The sequence below is a fragment of the Homo sapiens genome, chromosome 18 (assembly GCF_000001405.40).
Source record: "Homo sapiens chromosome 18, GRCh38.p14 Primary Assembly".
NCBI classification, from domain to species: Eukaryota; Metazoa; Chordata; class Mammalia; order Primates; family Hominidae; genus Homo; species Homo sapiens.
The window spans coordinates 34,072,862-34,098,818 of record NC_000018.10 but is presented as its reverse complement, the minus strand read 5'-3'; the positions used below and the strand labels follow the sequence as shown (position 1 = coordinate 34,098,818).

Below are 25,957 nucleotides of genomic sequence, written 5' to 3'. Positions count from 1 at the left end.
GTAGAGAGAAGATTGGATATTTGAACCTAGGTTTAAATAACTTTGGAGCCCAAAATCTTCCTACTGTGCAACACATCCACTTAAAATTAGTATTAACTATTTGTTTTTTTAAGCAACAAATCAATGTAAATAGAATGCTATGGTGTAGCTCAAAGGGGAGAAATTAGATGTTTTTCAGTTTTCTTTTGCTATGTACCACCCCTAAAACTTAGTGTCTTAATACAAAAATGATTTATTAATACTCATTATTCTATGGGTTAAGCAGTTAGCCAAGAACCTCTGGGTGATTTATTTTGTTACTTCTGGCATAGGCTAGGATCATTTACTCAGTGACATTCAATTGGTAGCTGGACCTGGCTGGATAGTCCAAGAAAACCTCACTTAAGTACCCGGTTCCTTGATGCTCCTTTATGCTCCTTTACGTGACCTCTCACTCTCCATGTGGCTGGCTTATGCTTCCTCACAGTGTGCTGGTCTCAGGGTAGTAAGACTTCTTAACTGACAGCTTTATTGTATGGCAGCTGGCTTCCAAGAGACAGGAAGTGGAAGCTCCCTGTTGTTCTGGGACTGACACAGCATCACTTCTGCCATATTTCTATTGACCAAAGCAAATAACAAAACCAGCCTAGTTTCAAGGGGAGGAGAGAGAAATACTGTTCCTTGATCTAAGGAGCAGCATGCATGTAAGGGGCAGTGGGGAGGGGAAGGGATCCATGGTAGCCATCTTTGGAAATTATCCACTACATGGTCAATATCCATAAAAAAAACCCCAACCTCCTTTATTAACCAAAATAAAATTTTAATGAATTAACTTGTTATTTGAGGCTTACTGCATTGAGAAAGATTTTACAAAATACTGTATCCAATATGAGATCATTTGACCTTCTTATAAACTGTTGGTGAGGGTTTAAACTCGAACAAACTTTCTGGGGGATGATTTGATGATAATTATTAAAAACTTTTCAAATATATTTATATTACTTGACTAGAAATTTATCCTAAGGAATGTGATATATGAAACAACAATTTATCTATTAAGATGTTTACTGTATTGCTAGTAGTGAATGACTGAGTATATTTTCAAGATTTCACAACAAAGGATTGTCAGTTATGCACTGCCTAAGATGGTAGTCATTAGTCACATGTGAATGTATAAGTTTAACTGAACATTAATTAAAATTAATTAAAACTAAAAATTCAGGTCTTAAGTCACACTAACCACATTTCAAATGTTCAACAGCCACATACGACTAGTATTTACCTTATTGAATAGAGAATATTATAGAGCAATTCCATCATTGCACAATGTTTTCTTGAACAGCACTGGACTGGGCAGATAGCCAGCATTAAATAGCTCATTGAGCTACATGTTGCAGGACACCACCCCAAAGATTCTAATTCTAGGTCTGATATGTGGGACCTGGGGATATGAATTTTTAACAGGATCTACACTCATGCACACTGAGATTTGAGATGATGAATTTCATAGAGATGCTGATAATGTAAGCTTTGATTTGATTTGAGCAGATGATAAGTTTTAAAAAATCAACAGAAGAGAAGATTGGTGGGAGTGGTTTTTAAGCAGTCTTATGGGAAACCGTAAATATTTGATTGAATAGCATACACATTATTTGATAAACAATGGATAGGGCTGCAAATTTATAAGCAGAGAAGTGACATGTTCAGAAATGGGAAGATTAATTTGGCAATTGTTAATAGGCAGGACTGGTGTAGAGAAATTGGATGTGGATAAGTTAACTGGGAGACTATTACTACATAGTTTAGGAAATGGCAAAATGCAATTTTGAACTAATCAGGCAGGACAATAGCAGGCGAAATCAGGAGGTACATGGTAGAGACCCTTTATAGATAATATCTGGAACTTGAAAACTAAAATGAAATATGGAGCAGATTAGGGGTCTCCATTTCAAGCAACTTCTGAAGATAGAAATAAAAGCTCAATAACAAAGGTTTTGAGAAATAAATAAGTGCCGTGTTTAAAAGGGAAAAGACTGAAAAGAAAATTATTTGTTACAGTTAAATTGTTCTAATATTAAAACATTAAGTTTCAAGGAGGCAGAATTACTATGGTCTCTGGCCATGACTTTCATTATCATGAGATTTTAGTCATGTAAGAAATAAGCTCACACAGTATGATGTGGAGAGTTTTTTTCTGGTTGTCAAACAAAATAGATTTTCATAGAGGAAAGGAATTAGATGAATGGTCTAGAGATAATCATGAATAAAATACTTAATATCAGATCAGTCAAGTTTTCTGATTCTTTATTCTTAGAAGCCTTCAGTAGTTTCTTCCTAGTGTAATTAGTATTTTATCTATGTTGGTAAAAAAGCACAAGCTTATATTTCATATACCTCTGCTAACTTTTATTAAAAACAATAATTTAATCAATTATTAACTAAACTAGAATATACAGAATGAATACATGCACTTAGTCTCATTAAAGCTCTTAACAAAAGTATAACAATTGAATTCTAATAAGGAATGTAATTGTGAAAATGAATTATATTTCATATGTAGTAGTGGAGGAAAATATTTAAAATATTCTCAATCATTAAGCCACTTATGATGGTAAATAATTTAACATGGTTTTTTTAATTACAAAAATACATAAGTATACATTTGGTTACATAAACATTTTAATCTCTCATCTGAATTTATTAAAATGTATGCTGGCAAGAGTGTCAGCATACATTTTAGTGGTGATAAAAAATATATTGATTTTCCATAATATGCTGTGGCTGTTTTTACAACCATTTCATAGAACAGAGGCTGTGACTTGAATATTTATATTTAGCTCTTCTTTAAACATAAATACACACACACATACATATCCTCATATACATATACATTTTACATATTTATATGCCATATAAATGATATTTTACTAGATTACTTATAGTTAGCTTTTTGTGACCTTTATAACAAATACTTATAAAGACTGTTTATATGTTTATGTAAACACACAGCTACTTTAGTAACACATTTTGTTTGCCTTTACCATTATATTGAAATGTGTTATATTTTGTTGTATATGTTCATATACTGTAATAAATGTGCATAATTTTATATACTGTAGAATGTATTGTATATTCCATATAGTAATATTAAACCATTTTATTGTGCTTATCATGTACCTGACATTGTTCTAGATACTTTAAATATAGTACACGCCCTCACTCCACATGTGACTCTGTGAGAGCAGCACAATTTTTATTTCCATTGTATAGATAAAGAAACTGAGGCACAGTAAGTTGAGGTAACTTGCTTAAGGTAGCATATCTAATAACTGGCAGAATATGGACCTGAATCTAGGAAGTCTGGCTTCTGAGAATATCCTCTAAAATACTATGACATCACAGAAAGTAAATATAGTGTATCTAATAGATATCTGTATCATCTATCAACGTGTGTATATATATATGTATGTATTTGTATATGATCAACACTAGTAACAAGTCCACATTGTTATCACTGATAATGTCAGTCCACATTGAAGTCTCTTATTTTTGCATACACACACACACACACACACACACACACACACATACACATTAGAATTTAGAATTGGAGTAAACATAATGTATTGAGAGAGGGCATGCAACTAAGAGAAGTCTATGTGGCTGATTGTCCATGGATCTGACACAGTGGCATTTCCTTACTGACTTAATGAAGAGCTAGTGCTACTCAGTGTGCCCAAGCATGACCCAGTCTTTGATAAAGGAAAGACACCACAGCCAAAACCACCAAGCCTGATATAAGAATCAGAATGCCAATTTATTAGTCTACCAGGATAGTCTTGTTCGTTAATAATAGAAACTCCTTTGCTGATGCCAAGATGTCATTTATGAAACCAGGGTAATTCTTCCTATTCAAATATATTGTTTCCTCGAGTCTGGATGACTTCATATGACTACCGGTTCTAGTATATAATAGCAGGGAAAATGATTTAACTTCTCTGTGCCTCAATTTCTTCATCTATAAATTGTTTGCAAATTTATAGCTAATTCATAGTTGTGATAAAATATAAAGAACAACGTGTGCAACATAAATAGCAGCACTACTACTGCTGATTATTATATTCGTGTTAAACGTTCAGATCAAACATTTACAAATTAAAGTCAAAGCTAGAGATTTTGATTAAACATTTACATTTTGCACAGGTTTCCCGGGCCTTCCAGCCTGTATAAGTATACCATTTGTCCAAAAATCAGTTCTCCAAACGAAGTTTGCTTCAGAAAAATGACTGCAATAATATATCCTAGATTTGGTTTAACATTTGGAAAGTTTTGATAAATTGGCCATTCAGCAAACTGGCCTTTTGGTAATTCCATTTTATGAACTGACTTTTAGTAAATGTTTCATGCACAATTTTACCTAGAACTCCTCTTTGTGGTTGCCGTGCAATTTATATTTGCTTGTAAAGAAAGAAAGGGTGTACTAAGATTAGCTTGCTCTCCATTACATGTGGACTTTGAACCTAATATATAAGTTGGCTATATTAGAATCTATCCTGTTTGCCAATGAAAATTTTTTTATAAAGCCCTTTCTGCATTCTAAGATTTCTGCTTACAACATTTTTTGGTCATTTAGTTTTAAATCAAAACTTGTATTTCTCTTTATGTTACATTTTATGATTAACTCTTTTAGAAAGTATTTACTATAAAATCATTCTTTATATTATTTCACAAGTCTTGAAATTCCTTGAAGGGAGAAATTATTCCATTGTTTTTTTGTTTGTTTGTTTGTTTGTTTTTTTGAGACGAGTCTCGCTCTGTTGCCCAGGCTGGAGTGCAGTGGCTTGATCTCAGCTCACTGCAAGCTCTGCCTCCTGGGTTCAAGCCATTCTCCTGCCTCAGCCTCCCAAGTAGCTGGGACTACAGGCACTCACCGCCACACCTGGCTAATTTCTTTCTGTATTTTTAGTAGAGACGGGGTTTCACCGTGTTAGCCAGGATGGTCTCGATCTCCTGACCTCGTGATCTGCCCTCCTCAGCCTCTGAAAGTGCTGGGATTACAGACCTGAGCCACCACGCCCGGCCCATTGTTTGCTATTTTAAACATCTATTAGTTTGTAACATATTTTTCTGAATTCTGTAAAAATTTACTGGTTAAACTTCAATTGACTGTGTAGATAAAATGGTTATTATTTAAACGTATTATACGTTAAAATGCTTGATGATATTTTAAAACTATTTTCAGGATGAAAGTTCAATAGAAAGTGATGAATTTGACATGAGTGATTCAACACGGATGTCAGCTGTGAACTCTGATCTTAGCTCCAATCTTGAAGAAAGAATGCAAAGTCCCCAGAATCTTCATGGCCAGCAAGATGGTAAGCCTTTCAGTTTGACTAAATAAGCAAAACAACAGCAAAAAAATGAGTCAGAATGCATGGAAACAACAACTACCTCTTAATTCTTGTGTCAATTTTTAAAAATCTACCCATTTCTATGGGAACTTTTCTCTATGTATTTAGGTTATATCATCCACTTCACTATTTTTTAATTCAAAACTGTTCAAAACCAAGGTGTTAGACTGATTTATAAGCAGATATTGGTTATAAAATTCAAGTTAATTCATGTTTTGCTCCCTGAACTTAAAATATGTGTTATATCAATACAGTTTGGTTTCTGTGATATTTTCTAGCTTTGATTTCTTGGGCTGTCATTCTTCCGACTAAATTAAGCATTTAAATATGATCAAAAGATTAATTTGGATGTTTATCTTTTATGTAAAAGACAAGTTTCAACTAAGAATCACTAGATATTAAAGGAAATTTTACCAGAGCAATAGTGCTGAGTAAGACAATATTTGCTGTGATTTTTGAGCTACTTTATCCAGCTGTTAAGGAAAGAAAGTTCATGATCTCTTATTCCTGGGTTCATGAAAGATTTCTGAATCAGCCTATTCTTGATAGGAAGAAAGCTAGATATGTAGAGAAAGTAGATGTCATACTAACATTGTAGGCCTAATATTTTTGGAGATCTTTGAACACTACCTTTGTAGATTTTTGTCTTTGTAAATATACAATTATGTATACAAGTCAATGTGACTTATTTTGGTAATTGCTGACAAAAAGGGTTTTAAATAGAAGGAAATTGGCCAGTTATATTCAAAATTTGTGTATTATTTCTGTATTTAACAAGTTCATATGAACTTTTTGATTGAAGAGTTTTGTACTTACATTTATAGATACTGAAAAAATCTTTGCTTTCTCTGACAGTTGCTATTACAAACTGGTTGCAAAAGATTGCTGTATTTCTAGCTGCTATTTGTGTTCTGTTTGTGTTGGCAAGGCTTAAGAAATCCCTAGTTTTAAGCATAAAAAACGTCCAAGAACAGAGGGGCTTTTCTTTTTCTCACTTCAGATTAATCTTAAAAGATGCTGGTGTCCTTGTTAGCATGAGTTATAAGAAAATGAGGAATGCATTGATTATCAGTGACTTTAAGATAGTATCTTAATTGCTACGTGCTATAATAGCTATTGTAGTAGAAAAGCAATTTATTTGGAAATATTATAAGAATGAAGTTTTTCTGATTTAGATATAAATTTTCTCTTTTCTTCTAAAACATGAGTAGGCATTCCTCAGATTTTGTATTTTTTTAATGGCCATTGTATAGTACCAAGATCATAGAGTAACTGAAATATTCTTAGTAATGTATATCACTCCATTAATTTGCTTATGCATTTAACTTAGGTATCTCCTTGCCGTCTTAGTCTATATATAATTTTAGGGAATATAGATAATGTAGAGGGTGTATAGAGAATGTAGAGGATGTCTCTCATCATGCAAATTCATTGTTTACTTGACTGAAGTTGCAAGCTGCAGGTCTTTGGCTATGGCACAACTGCTGTGATATAAATCTATATTGATTTTAATCAAATGCAGTAGAATAACTCCAAATATTATATACTCTTAGGGAAAAGCACTTTCTCATGATATATTGATGATATTCTAACCTAGGCCTAACCCTTCCTTGCCTTACATGTAAGATACTTTTTTCTTACATTTCTTGCTGAGTTTTCTCTTGCAGTGATCCGTCCTCTTTCTCCTGCATCAGAGGTTTTCCCCACTCTACTGGATTATTAGAATCTACATACAAACATAATTTGATAAATATCTTCTTTAAAATGCCTCGATTGATTATGTCTTTTTCCGTTTCTGCTGCTACAGCAAAATACCTGAGACTGAGTCATTTATAAAGAACAGAAATTTATCTCTCACAGTTCTGGAGTCCAAGATCTGGGAGTCCAAGATCTAGGTGCCAGTAGGTTCAGTGTCTGGAAGAGCTTGTTCTCCCACGATAGTGCATTATTGCTGAATCCTCCCGAGGGAAGGAACACCATATCCTCTCATGGTGGCAGGATCCAAAGAGGGGCAAACTCCTTCTGTCAAGCCCTTTTGTTTTATTTTGTTTTATTATTTTATTTTTAAGATGGAGTCTTGCTCTGTTGCCCAGGCTGGAGTGTAGTGGAGTGATCTTGGCTCATTGCAACCTCTGCCTCCCGGGTTCAAGCAATTCTCCTGCCTCAGCCTCCTGAGTAGCTGGGGCTACAGGCACACACCACCACACCCAGCTAATTTTTTTTTTTTTTTTTTGTATTTTTAGTAGAGATGGGGTTTCACCATGTTGGCCAGGCTGGTTTTGAACTCCTGACCTCAAGTTATCTGCCCGTCTCAGCCTCCCAAAGTGCTGGGATTACAGGCATGAGTCACTGTGGCTGGCCTATCAAGCCCTTTTATAAGGGCACCTAATCCTATTCATCAGATGAGACTGACACATCCTAAAGGCCATACCTCTTAATACTGCTATGCTGGAGATTAAGTTTCAATATCAATTTTGGATGGGACAGAAACATTCAACCATGTCATATCCCATTGCACCTCTTCATTCATCACCCTATTTCTCTGCACCACCCCTGCAAAAGACTTTATAGTGAAACTCTGAAAGAGTTTTCCCGTTATTTCCACTCTATCCTTTTTGGCTCATCTCAAGTAGGCTTTCATCCTTGCCACCAACTTCACTTGTTCTTGTGAACATCACCAGCAGGCTTCTTATTGCTTAATTCATTGGTCAACCCTTAGTCCTCATCTCCTTCAACGCTAATGTTTAAGGACAATGCCTCCCCCCCTTTTTTTTTCTGGTGCCATTTCTGTCTCATTCATCTCTGTGGGCTCCTTTTCTATGTTCTATTCTATAGATGCCAGAGTGCAGGCTTCAACTCCCTCTTCCTTTTTCTCACTCCCTAGTACACTACATCTAACCATGTTGCTTTCCATAACATCTCTATCTAGATGAATCCCAAATTTATTTCTCCAAGCCCTGACATCTTTCCTGAGCTCAGGACTATCTCCCCTTACCTATTTCCTAATTGTTAACATTCTTCAGAGGACTTATCACTGTATGAAACTGCATTATTTTTCTCAATTATTAGCTGTTTCTCTTCTAGAATGAAAATACCATATTAATTAATGAGTTTTCACATGCTTAAAGTTTTCCTTTCATTGGCTTCATTTGAGTTAGTTCTTACATTCTCCATCATTTAAATGATTAAAATATAACTTTTTACCATAATTATATTTTGTAACACAAGTTTTACATATTTATCTTCTTTTCTTCTGTCCTTCCTTCTGACAATGGTACTCTCCTAGGTAATCCATATTGACAACCTTCTGTAAAATTTCTTTTTTTCCTGTTTACAAATACACACCCATATACATACTCAGAAAATTTTGTCATCAAAAACCTAGAATTATGTCATTTATGCTCTTCTGTATCTTGATTTATTTGTCTAACATTACCTTTCTTTTAGAGCTTCCTATATTAGGGGTGTGTGTGTTTGTGCGTGTGTGTGTGTGTATCACAGTAAGAAAAAAAAAGGCATGGGACCTACCTCATATAACACACAATTTTAAGGAATGTATATCAAACTCAGTGTTGCCACTATTGACACACAACTCTTTGTTGGAGAGGGATGTCCTCTGCATTGCATAATGTTTAGCAGCTTCCTGGCCTCTACCTGCTGCATGTTCTTAGCTCCCCTTCTCCCAACTGTGACAAATAAAAATATCTTCAGATGTTGCAAATGTCCCTTGTGGGACAAAATTACCCTAAGTTGAAAACAAAAGAAAAGCCTAGGAATCAGTGCCCAGTTGTCTTTCTGCAATCTCAGAATAGTTCTTTAGTTACACTGTCCAACTTGATAGTCGCTCTCCACATTGTGGCTATTGAGTACTTGAAATATGGCTAGTGTTACTGAGAAACTATTCTAATTTAATTTTAATTCAAATTTAAATAGCTACATGTGACCGGTGGCTACTGTGTCAGACAGTGTAGATATAGATCATTATTTTATTTTGACTGGCAGTTAAACTCTGTTCTCTGCAGCCATTGGTTGAATGTGTCTGAAGTCTGGAAAAACTATAGAAGAAATTCCTATTTTAACAGTTGACTGAAATCCCTGTTTAATATTTTGAAAATCTAAACAATACAAATTATTTTAAGTTAAATTAAAATTTTTTTTTAACATTAAGTGATTAAGATTTTATTTAGAGAAATTGAAGTAGGACATTATGATTTTTATAAATCCTTCCTAATAATTATAACAGGTAGGTATAAAAATGTCCTTATTGGGTACCATATAAAATGAAGAGTAAAATAACTTTTTTTACAATTTTTATTTCACTATGGTTATAGAAAATTTGAAAAGTATTCATTAAAAACCAAGGGAAAAGAAGACTATCAAATGTGCGTTGTGTTGGAAATACATATCTGGATATATAGATATGTATACACTCAGAAAAGGTGAAAAAGAAGAAAAATATTTTTCCCCAGGCTAGATAATTAGATAAAGGTCAAAAAGACACAAACCTGAATGAAGAATTTGTAATAAGAAGAATGCTTCAGGATTAATGTATAGTATTCTGCTTCTTTTGCCTTTTTTAGGTTTATAATATTTCCCTAACTCAATAAAAACATAAAGGCAAAAAATGCTTAGAAACTGAATCTTCGCATAAAAAGTATTTTACCCTCATTTTTGGTTTTGAGGAAACTAAGTTGAGCTATTTAAATTTTTTTTTACAGACTTAAAAGAATGTTTTTAAGTTAAAATCATTTAAAGGTTATATATACGTCTGCTTTACTCATGAAAGCATGAGTAAAAGCAAAACACCTTGAAGGTGTTGTGGAATATAAGGGACTTATTATGAAGGAAGTTTTGCTATGCAATGGCTGCGGTTCACAGAATTTCAAAAAGCATCTCGAGGACTAACAGCTAAAGGCATCCTTCAAATATTCAGCAGTTTGTAAGCATTCTTCTTGTTCTGCCAGCCATTTAAATGGATTAGAAACAGAAATTTTGTCACTTGAGCTTCTGTGTTTGAATCTCAGATCCTAGTCATTTATGGAAGCATGGATTAGCTCAAAAATGTATTCCCTTTCCTAAATCAATTACTTACTTTATTATGAATTTGTACCTTCTAAAACAGCTGATGTTCATTCCTTGTCTGGGGTTATTTTTAAAAAATATCTGGCAAAAGAAAAGTGTCAGATTTAGAAACAGACTTAAAGTTTCAGTTCAAAATAAGCATTTTACTTCATTTTATAGAAGGATACTTTTCTAAGAACCATTTTAATCACTTTTCTGAGTTAACACTTTAATGTAAACTATTGATATTTTGTAAGGGAGTATTTGTGCTTTTTTAAGCACAAATAATTAGAAAGATTATTAGATATTACCAATATATTTATGTATTTTTCAATTGCAACAATTTATATATATATATTTGCATTTTAAAAAAAGATAATAGGAATAAAAGGAATGTTGAGGCATACCCTTAAATTCTCTGTATGTCAGCTTAATCAGCTATAAAAGCTATTAAGAAATCCATTTAAAATATTTCTATATTAAATATTTTCCCATGGTCCTTTGAGCCTTTTGGCCTCCATAGTAAAAATCTTTGCCTCCCACTAAGACACATATGATATATTAATAGAATTCACCAAAAATAGGAAGCATATTCAGAGGCTAGGTAGTCAAAAAAAAAGGCAAATGTACCATTCAGAGATATAATTCTAAAAGGTAACTCACTTGGATCCTTGGGTATACTTAGGACAAGGGTAAATGATGTGAGGTCCAATATTTCATTATTCACTCAACTAATACATATTAAATTCTAGCATAAGTTGGACAATGGATTTACAAGCATGAACATTGCATATTAGATTAAACCATATGAAATTGCCATACTTCCTTGATTTGAACTGATGGTTCAAGCTTTAAAATAGCTTAAACTAGAATATGAAAGATATGGAAACAAAGTGTTTTTGAAATTGAGATGCATTTCTGTTTCAGATAGCAATGATGCTCACATATGTACATTGTGTATCTCTTGACTTGTACACTCGAAAATTATCACAATCCTCTTTTCAGTGGAAACATAGAGGGGAGTAAGTTAACAAAAAATAGCAATCTGATTGTGAGATAAATAAGTACATTAACAGATATAACTGTTGGAGTTTCACTTTTTCTTATATCCTAATTCAGATTATGTGCTAAACTGGCCTCCTGAAACTCCTACATTGGGAATTTATTTTAAAAATACAGATTCATGGGACCCATCTCAGATGGGATGACTAAGACAATTGTGTGGGATGTAAGTATGGGAACCAGTGCTCCACACTATGCTTGTGAAGATATTCTTTACTATTCTACCTAGCTGTTCTGGAGTGCCAAAATGGCAATAGGTCTAAAGGGGATTAAGTCACATTGGTGCACTTCATGCTCAAATGTTGTGACCAGTAACTTCTGAGTTACTTTTTGAATGAGGAATAGCATGTAAGTTCATTCCTAGTATATGTATGTGTTTGTATGTGTTTCAATTAGCTCTGTTTTCTTAGTTATGACAATTGCCACATATGACAGTTCTTTTGTAAATTTTGAAAATGCTCCTATTCTACTCTAAGAAATTTTACAGTCTGTTTTCAGTCTTATGTATATGAACACTGCACACACTGGACTTTAGAACACGCACACAAACACACATGAAATACTCCTTTGAAATGCTGTTTTTACTGCCCAGTTTATATGTGAATAAAATTTTAGTAAAAATATGCTTGTGGCTAAAATTGAATTTAATTTGGTTGAATAAGATAGTTTTATGTAATTATTAAAGTGTATAAACCAGCAGTAAAAGCAAGAACTATGTGCTGTTCACCATTTAATTTCATTGGAAAATCTAATAAAACATGTTTTTAATAAAAGTGATGTAAAACAGTATACTGAATAGGAAATTAAATTCAGTGGTTAACTTTTTTGTGATGGTGAATTTTAATCAGAAAAGCTATTAAAATGTTTTTCAGGCTGAACACCAGATTCCCTGGAGAGATTATGTTGTCTTGTGTAAGTCATTTTCTTTCTTGTGCAAGTTTGTTTTCTTTCAGTGTTTACAATTTCTTAGGAAACTTGGGATAGAGCAAAAATTGTTAAAAGGATGTTGATTCTTTTATACAAATGTAATAAAATATTTGACTTCAAAATTGAATTCGTTCCTAATAGTGTTTTTACTCTCACTTTTTAATTTGCATACACTTCTGGACTTAAAATACCTAAAAATGATACAATGCTGCTCTTTTTTCTTAATTCAAGTTGTTTTAATGCATTATTAAACCTAATTCACATGATGAATTTGTTTAAATATTCTGAATTGAGTTAGTTAATTCGATGAAGCTTTTAGAAAACTCTCTTTATGGCAGTTGCTCTATAAATAATTGTATAATAATTTACAGAAGTATAAACTACCTTTATAAGTAATATAAAGAAAACAAGTAATTTGAAGGAATGTTACTATGAATTGGAGGAGATTTTGATTATTAAATCCATTCATAATATTGTTATTTGTGTGTATATGTGTGTTCATGTGTAAGTATTTAATCATTTGAAATTGCTTTTAAGCAGTAATTCTCTGTTTCCAAAAGCAGAAGAAAAGGCAATTTGACTTACATATAAAGGATAGGTATGAAAAATGATGTTTAGTTGTATATTTATTTAAAATGCATATCTAGGGAATGTTATTTACTTTTTACATTTAAGATCACTTATTTGGGAGTTTGCTCTACCTTTTTTAGTGACAATTCTGCCTTTCAATACTTTACTCATATTACATAAGTGTGTTTTCATATAAACGAGTGCTTGTTTAGAGAATTAGCTCATTGATTTCAGGCTCAAACTTGCCACACCCTAGAGACCAGTCCCATCTTAGCTAGGTTCTGATCCTCTGGGAAACTAGGGGAAATCGGCTTGGTTACATGCTTGCTTTGGAGAGTCTAATCTGATCAGTGAAGGACGTCAGATTAATTTGAAATTTTACTGCTGGGTTAGTTCTTTGTTTTGAGATATTGCTCTTTTGGTTTTGTCACTATCTTCTTGACAGTGTTTGCCAGTCCATGAATGTTTATGTGGATCCAAAGTTCAATCAGTTTCAGCACCTCCAGGAGATGCCAAATTTCTGTTAGGACCAAATAGCAGATGCTAGACCGTTTAATCCTTAAATATGGATTTCTGTCTGTCTGTTAAGGCATAAATAAAATTAAGAAGCCTCATAACAACTGGAGAGATGTTAGACAATACATATCCTTTCTGAATTTATTCAAATAAATTTTGAACCTATTGATTTATATATCCAGCTATATTATAGAATCAGACCACCTGCATTTCCAACTTGAAAGTCTTGAACAACTGTCTTTTTTGTCTATTTTTGTTTTTGTTTTTACTATCACCTGGCTAGCCTTTATAAACTCTTACCGTAAACTGAACACCATGCTGTGTTCCTTTATAACTTTCTTGTACTAATTTGGGTCAGCTAGCTACTACTTCTTTTAAAAACAGCTTTAGCCTTTAGGCAAAGCAATTTCAGTGTTTAGTAGGGCTTTGAAGCTGGTGTTGCATGCCAGCTGTGCAGACAGATAAATCAACTACAACGTAGGGGTAAATTGGCCATGAAAATCTTTATTTACTAGGTTTATAGAGATCCTAGTTAGATTGTGGGTGATATAAAGAAAGAACAGTTGGAAAGTATTGAAGAAAGGGGTTGAAAGGATATTTCATTATAATTATTATAAATTTACAGTGTAATTATTTTCTTACCAGTCTCATTTCTCCACTTGACTGGGAGTGCTTTGGGGACAAAAAACAAAGTATATCTTATGTATCCTTGCATATTCTCTTTGGAGCCACACACAGTATTTGAAATACAATAAAATATAAATACTTTTTAAATTGAAATAGTATTTTGAAATTTCTTCCCCATCTGCTTACTTTTATAGTGAAATGCACTCAACCCTTAGACTCAGTTATTCTTGCCAAATATTATATAGGCAGTTGCTTTCCTTATCCTCGACGGGCGGGGCCTCCCTGTTACAATTTCAGCATCCCTAGCCAGGGGTTTATGGACAGAACTCTGGTATCCCTGAGAAGAGCCCCTAGGAGGAAGGGCGACCGCAGTATCTTGGATCAGCAGCCCTAGTCTTTCCTGTCTGCTAGCTCTGGAGAGTCAGGGCAGCCCAGAGGAGGGGGATTCCACCCAGCCCAGCACACCCGCTCCACCAAGGGGCAGCCAGACTGCCTATTTAAGTGGGTCTCTGATCTGGCTCCTCATGACTGTGTGAGACCTCCCAACAGGACTCTCCAGACACCTCATATGGGAGCGTTCCAGCCGGCATCAGGTCAGTGCCCCTCTGGGAAAAAACTTCCAGAGGAAGAAGCAGGCTGCCATCTTTGCTGCTCTGCAGCCTCCACTGGTGATACCTCCAGGGGCAAGAGGGACCCAGGTGAATAGAGTCCAGAGTGAACCCCCAACAAACCGCAGTAGCCCTAAGGAAGAAGGGCCTGACTGCTAAAAGAAAACCACACAGAAAGAAACAACAACAACGTCCATGGATGAATATTCTGTCTTTTTTATATCTTACTTTGGGGTTCCTGAGGCCTGTGAATTCTTCCTTTTCTACAACCACAATCTACTATGAAGCAATAAAATAATTAGTAGCTTTGGTATGTTAAAGTGAATTCATTAAGAAGACAGCATAAAAGACCTCTCAGCCATAAATATTGACACTAGCTCGGCCAGTAACTAGTTCTGCAACATTATTTAAGTATTATTGACAACTTTGGACAACCTTTTCTATATTTGTAAATGAGAAGCTTTAGATAATCTCTCTCTAAACTTTATTATAGTTCCAGAACCATCTGTGTGTTCACCCTGTTAGGGTTCTCTTTCTTGTTCCTAACATTTTATCTTGTCTCATTTTCTGTACATCTCTAAACTGGTTTAGTGCTTTCTTAAACTAGAGAAAGGAATTAAAAGCAATGGAGACACCCCCATTTTTCTCCCAGCTGGCCCTTCCTTAGAAAACCAAGGTGATTCCTGAAAGAACAGACTTTCCACTCTTCTAGTTTCTCCCTCCCATCCTGGCTGCGAGAGTCATTCAGAGTTGTTTCCTCCTTTTTCCTCCCAATCTGCCACTCCATTTTCAAGAAACTATAGTCAACATGAAAGCTCACAAATATTGCCAAAATATTGTGAAATCATCACTTCCTTCTTTTTCCTCTATGAAGAATCTCATTCATAAGAACCCTTATCCCTAATCCATCTTGAACGTACATGTGTATATATGTATGGGTATGTGTATATATAAAGACAGAGAGAGAGAGCAAAATTTAGCTGTTTCAACAATAATTTTTAATTTCCACTCAATCACTTTTCATAAAATATTTCCTGAGGTTTTGAGGTACTGGAGTATTTCTTGGGATTTCCTTCAACCACTGCATTGTTATGTCTTTGGCAACCTTAAATGTTCATATACATTTTAGAAATTTTGAGGGTTTCTGGCAGTCACATATCATCAGTCAGCCCATCTCTCCCTATGAGGTTAATTCACTAACATGTCATTATTGTTATGGTGTAACAATGTTAGGGAGAATCATTCCTGGTGCCATACAGAATAAAACGTGCAACTCATCACTGCTTAGCCCTGTCTTTATTCAAATCTGTGATGAAACAAACAAGAGAAATCAGGTTATCAGCATAGGGACAGTGGAGTTTAGTGCACTGAATGGTGATGTGGGGTTCTAAAGTGGTCTCTGTGAGGACATGCCTACTCTCTTAAAGCATGCCAGCAGAACCAGTAGTTTGTTTATCTAAAATATTGTGTGCATGATTCTATTTTAGAGTCAATAAAAACCATATAAACTCTCATTCAATTCAACCATATAAAATCAAATTATTTTTAAAAGGCATTTCTAACTCAAAGGACAGATGATGACGAGAACTAAAATTTCTTGACTGTTTACTGAACGCTAGGCGCTGTTTGAGGAATAAGCTTTTTAAAGTTTTTACTAGAGCCATTTGAGGTGGACACTTTTTTTTTTTCTTTTTCTGGTATACAAGAGGACACGGAGGCTAATTTACTAGCCTATCATCACCACAACTACTAAGTAGTAGAAACAGGATTGGAACACAGCCTTCTGGTTCTGATGCCCATGGCTTTAAGCATGAGTTTCTAAGTTGCCACAAGCCCAGCTGTGTAACCACCGCATTTATTATATCCTATAGTTTATGCTTGCTCACACCTATTGTTTTATGCTTTGCAGGCTCAACCATTCCATTATGTTCTTATTTTCTAAACAGAAAATTAATAATATAGCTAATATTTTTATATAGCTTGTGCTTTTATAATCTGTCTATAATAACCACTTGTAGATGTTTTCCTGTAACTTCCTATTATCATGCATGTATCCTCTTTGTTTCTGCATTGTTATAAAGAAATTAAAATATTATTTGTAGCCATTGAAATGTATTGGTTCTGTCTAGCTCTCTAAAACAGGAGTAGGAAACCTAAATTCTGTTTGTTCAGTAATCTCTCTTGACAATAATTGCCCTGTGTTTAAAATTCATATTTTCTTATATCTGTTAAATATGTAATTGACTTTTGACAGTTTCTTTCATTCCTTCCAATTCTCCTTTGTCTGGAAAGGACAATAGGAAAATGTGGCTGCCCTCTTTGGCTGCATTTATTATTTTGTATCTTCTCATTTCATTTTACTGTGCTTTATTCTAAATAATAAGACCAAGCTATGATGGAAGGAAAAGAAAAACACTCTTCATTCATGACCATCCACTCATGTCAATAGTGATGTACCTTATCTTATAAGCTTATTTTATAACTATTCAGCCTTGCTTTGTGTGACATACAATAAAATATATATGTTATTGATGAAGAGTGCCATTTTCCTACATAAAGCATTCAGAAAAATAGGCTATTTTCAGCTATCAATTATACAAGTCACATGTCTTAAAATAACATACATTATATAATAGTGATAGTCATTTCAATCTAATAAAATATTTTAAAAGAATATTAAAATGTGTATAATGTGGAAATTATCCAGATTATAGTTAAGTAGACTTATCAAATATGTTCAGTCCTACACAAATGTGAGCAAACTTTTCAAAATAAAATGCCAAACTTCAAAAGAAGTTTTAATATTATTAATTGAAGTTACTTGCATTTGTGGAAATAAAGAAACTAGACCAATAACATTCATTAAAAGTACTTAAAAGATATTGTGGTCCTGAGAACTTATGTTTAGTAAATTGAGAAGTTAATAATAGAATCAGTTACCACTTAGGCATATTTTCTGTCTAACAATTGTGAATCTGTAAATAGGCCAGCTTCTGCATTTGCATCAGTAGATAAAGGGCCATCTTCTAATTTCTTAAAAAGAAGACTGCAGAATGTTATTCTGGGTATGAAAATTTTATAAATAAGTTCCAGATAGACTAGATACTTTGGCTTTTTCCTTTGAAAACTGTTTTTTTACCCATTGAGGTACTATTACAATAATGACTATCATGTAGTTTAACAATCAAATTAGTATCTTATGTCACACATTATTCCCATTTCAAAGCTAAACCTTACATTTTATTTTCTTTCCATTAAACTGTGCTTCTTTTTGCCATTAACAATGATGCTTTACCCAGTTAAACATGTGTTTTCTAAGACTTCTTTATAAAGCACATCCTAACTGTTATTAAAGATGATGATGTTTGTGGCCAGCCTGGGCAGTGTAGCAAGAGCCCATCTCTTAAAAAAGGATGAATATGATGGACAAGGATGTGGTACAATGGACGTAGCAGTGGCCCAGCCTTCACAGTATCAAAGTTTAGATCCCAGTTCTGTGATATAACCTGTGTGCCCTGGTGCATGCCGCTTTTTATGTTAGCCTATGAGCCCTTCATTTCAATTAGGGGTAATATATGCCTTATTAACATCGGAGTCTATAGGAACTTATTAGATAATAAAGTCATTTACAACAGAATGTTATTGACCACCTACTATGTGCCAGAACTATATGCAGGGCTGGAGATTCAGCAGTGTGCAAAATAGAAGAGGCCCACAATCTTGCAGATGATATGTAATCTGGTTGCAGGGGTGAGGCCATTAGATAACTATAGGAATATATGTATAACTACAAACTGGAAGAGGAGTCTTATGAGAGAGTCTAGCAGTGGCTACAGTTTGACCTGAGGATGGAGGAGCTGCAAATGCTTCTCAATGTAAGGGACAGAGATCCAGAGGATGAATGACACATCACAGGTGACAAAAGGCACAAGAACATGTAAGGCAGAAGCAATAGGATGTGTCAAGGCCTCGTGCCTTCTAAATTGTTGTGGTACAAATGGGGCAATATTTTGGTATTAGGTATGCTTTGTTTTTCAATGCCTTTTACTTCTGCTTACCACATCTCCTTTAAGCAGAATTCAGGATTTTCCCAATGAACAGCCCTTAGGCTAAGTCTGGTATAGAAAGAAACAACAATCAATTGCTTGGCTTTTGAGTGTTTAAGTAGATATTTTAAAATTAATAGCATAGTTATATATCTTTAAAACCATGACTTTGACTTGCAAGATGCAGGCAAAGAACAGAATTCTAAAAACTTGGCTTTAAATAGGAGCAAAAACCTAAAAGTCTGAATGAATAAATTATAGAAGAGACAAGAATGCATAATTACATAAGAACTTTTTTTTTCTTCCAAAAGAAGTTAATCGTTCAATCATATGTGTGTGGGAAAGAGCAATTTGGAGAAATAAGATGTGATGCTCACTGGGAAAAGCATACTGGATATTGTCCCTGTGGCAGGGTAGTTGGTATATGGTTGAAGGTACAAGATCGGAGCAAGTGTGTGTCTCATTACTCAAGGTGTAGTCAGGAAAACTGCTAGCCTCATTTGTCCAACATGGCACCTGAAGGGTTCAGCAACAATGGCATGGGGTATTTAGGTACTTACACTAAAGGAAAATCTCACAGATACACACTCCAGCCTAGGATGGGGTGGCAAGGAGAAGCAGCTGGGAGGTTTGGTGAACTGGGAGAATCTCCTTAACTGGAGATTCAGGACACAGAAGTCCTGAATCTGTCACCTGGAAGCCTTGACAAGTTCATGGTCATCATCAGCAGATTTAACAATGATAGACATATGATGCGAAAGTTACTCTTCGTTGGGGATAATTAGGGGAGAATACACTTGCCTCCTTTTTCTGCCAACCCACACTTCCAAAGCCTCACAAAATATGGTTATTTAGGTTCCTAGAGAGAAAGGAGTGGTGGTAGAATCCTGACAAAAGTTACTGAGTTTTAGCGGGCTAAACTGAGTTTTAGTTGGCTAAGCGAGCTTCATTTGGCCCCGGTTTCCTTCCCTGACCAGAAGTGGGGCAAATAAACTAGATTCAATTAAAAAGAAAAAATGTCTTCTATTTTTGTACAGTTGAGTTGATGACCATGTGAATTTATGCCAGTCCTACCTGAAGTGCAAGTGTTAGTAACAACCGCTAACCTTAGGTTTGGGGCAGAGGCCAGAAATTACCATATCTAGAGCTTCACAGCTACCTTAAATTTATCATCCTGATAAATGTCTCTCCTTTTTTAATACCTTGTAGTAAATTGGATATTATGTTTATTATATACCTATGTTCTTTTATAAGTGATCACGAGGCATTTTAGAATTCCTTCTCTAGAGCAAAACATTTTAAAACTGTGTTTGCTGGATATAGTATTTTGTTCCCATGTAAGTAATTATTGAATTATTGTTTTCATATTGGCTTGCCATTATAGATACACCAATAAGTTATCTTGAACATGAATTATTAAATGTTTTATCTTCTCCTACACTTCCCCTTTTGAAATGATTTGATGATTTGTAGGAATGAAATGTATTGTTACTTGTGGGAAGTAATTGATCTGTTGAAGTGATGGCATTGAGGTTGTCCATCATTGTCCTATGGAGGTAATTTTTATGTCCATGACATCTAGTTTCACATCAGAAATGGCGTTGCTTAAAGACATCCTTTACATTTTGACAATTGTCTTTACTAATAAAGGTGAAAAGTCATCCTTCAATAACAATTACTTAAATTTAAAAGAAGGGAATTAACTTCACTTCAGACACAATTTATGTCTCCCTAAAACAAATTTCTGTGATGTGACCAATGTTGATAGGGTTACGACCACCATCCTCTGAAGCTAACATTCATTTCATTCTAAGGTAAAGATAAATACAAGTATTTATTTATAGCTCACATATTTAAATTTTGATTAAAACATCTTGACATCAAGAAAATGCCAACATATTGTAATTATCTAAAAATGAGAGAAAGTAACATACAGATATGCAATGGGTTTCTCTTTCAGTTCATGGAAATTTTATGATGAGAAAAGTGAATTTCTAAAATTAAGCATGTATAAGGACTTTTCTTAGGTGTAAAAATTATTTTATTTGTTAGTTTGTGGTTAACTTATTAAGTTAGTTTAATTGTTTTGCTTTGTTTTCCAACCTACATGAGTAGGTTACTATTTGTAGTATTGCCATGGGAAATAACATTTTGGCACATTTGAAAACTGTTTTAGGTCACAGAAAGCAGTAATGGAGAGTAGTAAAATTATCAGTTACTCTAATAACCACTAGAGGTCTACTGATATCAAATTTCTGTCAATATATTTCCTTTCTACAAATATTTTAAATTAATTATTTCATATGAATGAAAGTGAATTTTCTCTTCTTTGTTTTATGTATTTTTTATTCTGTAGACTTTAATTCCACTTAAAATTAGGATCTTTGGTAGGTTTTAGTTTGTTTTGTTGTCCTTGCATGTTGTGTTTAAATACTATATTATGACTTATATTTAAAGTTAATCGTTAGGTGCTTTGTGGGAATTAAGTACTTTAAATATGTATACATATATATACATGCATATGTGTGGATATATACACATTTTTATATGTGTGTGTGATTGTGTGTGTGTATATATGTGTATATATCTATATATATGTAGATATATGAAAGCATTAGTAAAAGAGAAATATTTGTCTTGATTTTTAATTCAGTAGACAATATGAGTTCCATTTGATTTGTTTTGTATTGTTTTGTTTTGTTTTTTGAGACAGTCTCACTCTGTCACCCAGGCTGGAGTGCAGTAGCATGATCACAGCTCACTGCAGCCTCAACCACTGGGGTTCAGATGATCCTTCCACCTCAGCCTCCCAGGTAGCTGGGCCCACAGGGGTGTGCCATCATGCCCAGCTATTTGTTTTGTATTTTTTGTAGAGACCGGGTTTCACCATGTTGCCCAGGCTAGTCTCAAACTCCTGGACTCAAGTGATCCACCCACCTCAGCCTTCGAAAGTGCTGGGATTATAGGTGTGAACCACTGTGCCTAGCCCCATTTCTTTCTAAGGCAAGAATTTCCTGCCTGGTGTTAGATATTTTCATGCTAACTTGTGAATGCACCCCTGGGAATTTGTAGATGTGTGTGCAGATCAAATATAAGCAGAGAGTTCATCATTTAAAGACTCATGTTTATCAGTCATGTTGCTAAAAAGAGACATTTTCTACTTTATTATAAATGTTACTAGCAACGATTTTGTAGAAAATTTGTGTCTAAGAATTCTGGAAGTATTAAGGGTTACTTTGCTATTCAATATGATTTACCATTTTGCATTCTTTTACATAAAAGAAGGTAGTAACTCGAATCTGTGTGAAGGAATTAAGGAGCCCATCTTTGAACTCGGACGCATAGGAGGAGCTCAGTACAAATTGTTCAAGTGACTTCTGTTCCTGGAGTGGGACTCAGGTGACATTTGAATCACTAAGAAACACCCTCCAGTCTGAGGGTCTCCTGCAACTGCAGTACTTTGAACAGTCCCAGCTTTCAAAGCTTAGTAGGAATATCATTTTCATCGTTCTTTCAAGTCTAAGGGTAACTTTTGCTCAGTCCAGTTAATGGGCAGTATTTTTTGTCACATTGTTAGATAATCATTTACACTATTCAGGATGACCTTTGGAGTAAGTAGAATAGGCCACTGCCAATGTGAGGGATTTGGTGGATGTCAGAAATGGTTCCTCCTGGCCGCTCCGTATGGGTATAATAAAGTGAAAAAGTTTGTGCGCACTACAAAGCTGCTAACCATGGAGAAAGTAGAGGCCCATTCTAGGTCATGTTCTGCTTTGCCAAGCCAACTTTGCTAGTGGGAAGCTGCATTTGCGTAGGGGAGAGGGAACCTTTTCATAATTCATCTGACCAGAGGAAGCACCTTTCGTAAATAGGCAGCCCTTCTGTAATTTACTCACAGATATACTCTATGCTATTGACTGTCCTCTATTAAAGTGTCTCTCATTCACCTATGATAGTATTTAAATTTTTACCATCATAACTTGGGGATCTGAAACTTCTTATATTTTCTTTCTTATAAAAAATTTATACTCCCCCCACAAAAAAATAAAGCCTTAGCAATTATAAATGAACACCTAAAATGAAATGACCAATTAGTAACTGGGAAGGCTCTGCAGGAACTTAGAGGTTGTTTTCTGCTTTTATGGAAATATATATATATTTCACATACAACTCATATACAAAAATTCAAATGCACTCAAAGAAAGTACTAGAATATATGAATGTACTCGTCTTCCAGCTGTAACAGTTATCCATGTGAAAACTTTTCAAATTGGAGGAAGAGGAACATAAGAGAATGTGTTTTGACTTTTCATAATTTTGTCTCACCTTGACCGTGTCTCTAATGTCATGACTTGCAGTAAGATTTACATGGAGTGTAGCCTCTTCCCCACTTTTGTTCAACTGTGATAAACATGACATAGGTTGAACATTCCTAATCCAAAAATATGAAACCCAAAATGCTCAAAAGTCTGAAATTTTTGAGTGCCAACATGATGCCACAAGTGGAAAATTCCAAACCTGACCTCATGTGACAAATCACAGTCAAAATGCATGCACCCAACACAATTTCTTCAGTATTCTCAGAGGGAAAAAAGACCCTTGGCTCTATTCAGTGGCAATATATATTTTCTGCACACTCCTAGATTCTCTCACACACACCCACAAAGGTTAATAAAATTGTTCAATGTACATAAAATTGAATGCAAAAAATGATTTAGAATGTTGGGTAAAGTTAACTTCAGGCTCTGTATACAAGGTGTATATGAAACATAAGTGAATTTCATGTTTGGACTTTGGTTCCATCCCCAAGATGATTCATTATATATTTGCAAATATTCCAAAATCTGAAGAAAAACCTGAAAGTTGAAACAATTGTTGTCCCAAGCATTTCAAATAAGGGATACTCAACCTGTATAATGTACGAAGAATTTTTTCACTCTTGGAAGCACTTCAAAAATTTCATAAATATGATTGAGGAGACAATTGTTAATATACTGAGTTTTAAAATAATCCATCCATTTCTTAATTATTAAGTACTTACTATGAGCCAGACATTTGTTTATTACCAGGGCTATTGCAATAAGCAAGTCAGACAAAAGATACTTTGTTAACTGAAGTCTTAATGACTTAATGAGTAAGCCAATTACATAATATAAGCTAAAACATTAAACCCTACATATGAGAGGAAGTATAGAAAAGTAAAACCATTTTGTATTGGAACAATAACAGAAATACTACTTTATTCTCTTAAGAACCATTTTTATTAAAATTGTTTGATAACCAGAAGAGAAAAGTCCAAAAAAGTATCTATCTGTTTATTACACTGTGCCCTAATATTCCCTTAATTCTTGGTACTCGTGAAATATCATCTTCCTTGGGCTATGAAACTTATTCCTCTTCCCCATTATAAAACACATTTTTATTATTCTTTATGCTTGCATTAGTTTCATGATTTGTGATATATTGCTTATAAATTTAGATAAGCATAAAAAATGGATACTATAAAAACTGACAATTCAAAGTGTTATCAGTTAAGTAAAACAATATAAAAACTTGCAAATTTCTTAGTGTATGTATTTTTTGTTTGTGTTTATTACACAAGGTTATATATAATACCACAACAATATGAAGAGTGTTATCTCTAAAATACATTAAATATGATTTTTCTTTTCTTTAGACTTTTTGTATTTTTCAAAAATTCTATAATGAGCTTATATCATTGTTAATTTAAGTTTTAATGAAATAATGCATATAAATAATTTACAATCTCAGATATTAATATGTAATATTAAAAAATATGAATATTGAAAAATCCAATTATTTGAGATTTACAATGTTAAATATTACCAAAATATTCCAAAAATATGAATATTTAAAAAATACAATTCTTTGACTATTCTCCTTTTTTCTTATTCTACAAAAGTAATTACTTCAAATATTTTAGCTGTTTCCTCTTATTTTCTAATGTATTTATAAGTAACTTCTTGTTTTTGCTATTTCTTGATTTTTTCCTTAGTTAGACATTATATATTGGCTTTTTATAGCATTCACCCATTCTTTCTCCCCTATCCTCCCAATTTAGTCATACCACATTTTTTGGTTAGACATTATTTAATTGTACATTGCTTTGGCTATGTAAGTGTTGTCCATAGATGACTATGCCTTCTTTCCTATAAAAGTTTTTCTATTGTTTTTTTCTTTTCTGGAAGAAACAAATGCCTAGTTTTTTATTTGATTGCATTACTATATCCCTATTATTTTGTAGCTTCACTACTTAATATATACAAGGCTATTTACATTTACTGTTCCCTTTTGTCACAAGTGTGTTTTAAAAGTATTCAGCCCTCTTCATCCATGGGTTCCACATTCCATGGATTCAACCAACTGCAGATGGAAAATATTTATTAAGAAAGAAATGGTTGTCTCTGTACTGAACATGTACAGACTCATTTTCTGTGTCATTATTCCCTAAACAATATAATATAACAAGTATTCACAAAGCATTTGCATTGTATTAGGCAGTTTAAGTAAGCTAGAGATGATTTAAAGTATACTGGAGTATGTGCATAGGTTATATGCAAATACTACATCATTTTTTATAAGAGATTGAACATCTATGGATTTTGGGATATCCATGGGAGTACCAGTTCCCCCACAGAGACCAAAGGACGACTATCACCTCTCTATTTTATCTAATTTGCCTAATTTATTGGCTTAAAGTGTTCAGAATAACACTTTATTGTCCTGTGAATTTCTGTAGAGCGTGTAGTCATATCACCTTTCATTCCTGATATTGGTAATTGATGTATTTTTCTTTTTATTATTTTCCTGATTGGTTATTTCAAGGGGTTATCAATTTTATTAATATTATCACAAATGAGCATCTAGCTATATTGTGCTTTCTCTGTATTTTGTATGTTTTGTATTTAATTGATGTCACACTTATTAACTTAGGATTTACTTCATTCTGTTAGTTTGCATTTAATTTGTTTTGTCCCTGGCTATTTAGTTTTAAACTCCTCATAGCTAATACTAGCATATAAAACTATATATTTCTTTCTAAGCACAACTTTAGCTTCCTTACACATGTTTTGATACATTTTGTTTTCATATTAATTTAAGCAAAAATATTTTACAATGTTTTGTGATT

At 33.8% G+C, this 25,957-nt stretch overlaps 1 protein-coding gene across 31 annotated transcripts in view; it reads left to right on the top strand.

Moving 5' to 3' along the window:
- NOL4 (nucleolar protein 4) overlaps positions 1 to 25,957 on the top strand; it is a 373,814-nt gene that overhangs the window by 126,095 nt on the left and 221,762 nt on the right. For all 31 annotated transcript variants that reach the window (XR_935261.4, XM_047437902.1, XM_047437901.1 and 28 more), the window contains one exon: positions 5,222 to 5,354. Coding sequence is in view for 27 of the 31 variants with exons in the window: in XM_047437902.1 (XP_047293858.1) it covers positions 5,222 to 5,354 (133 nt within the window). In the remaining 4 variants the exon portion in view is untranslated. The remainder of the gene's footprint in view (positions 1 to 5,221; positions 5,355 to 25,957) is intronic.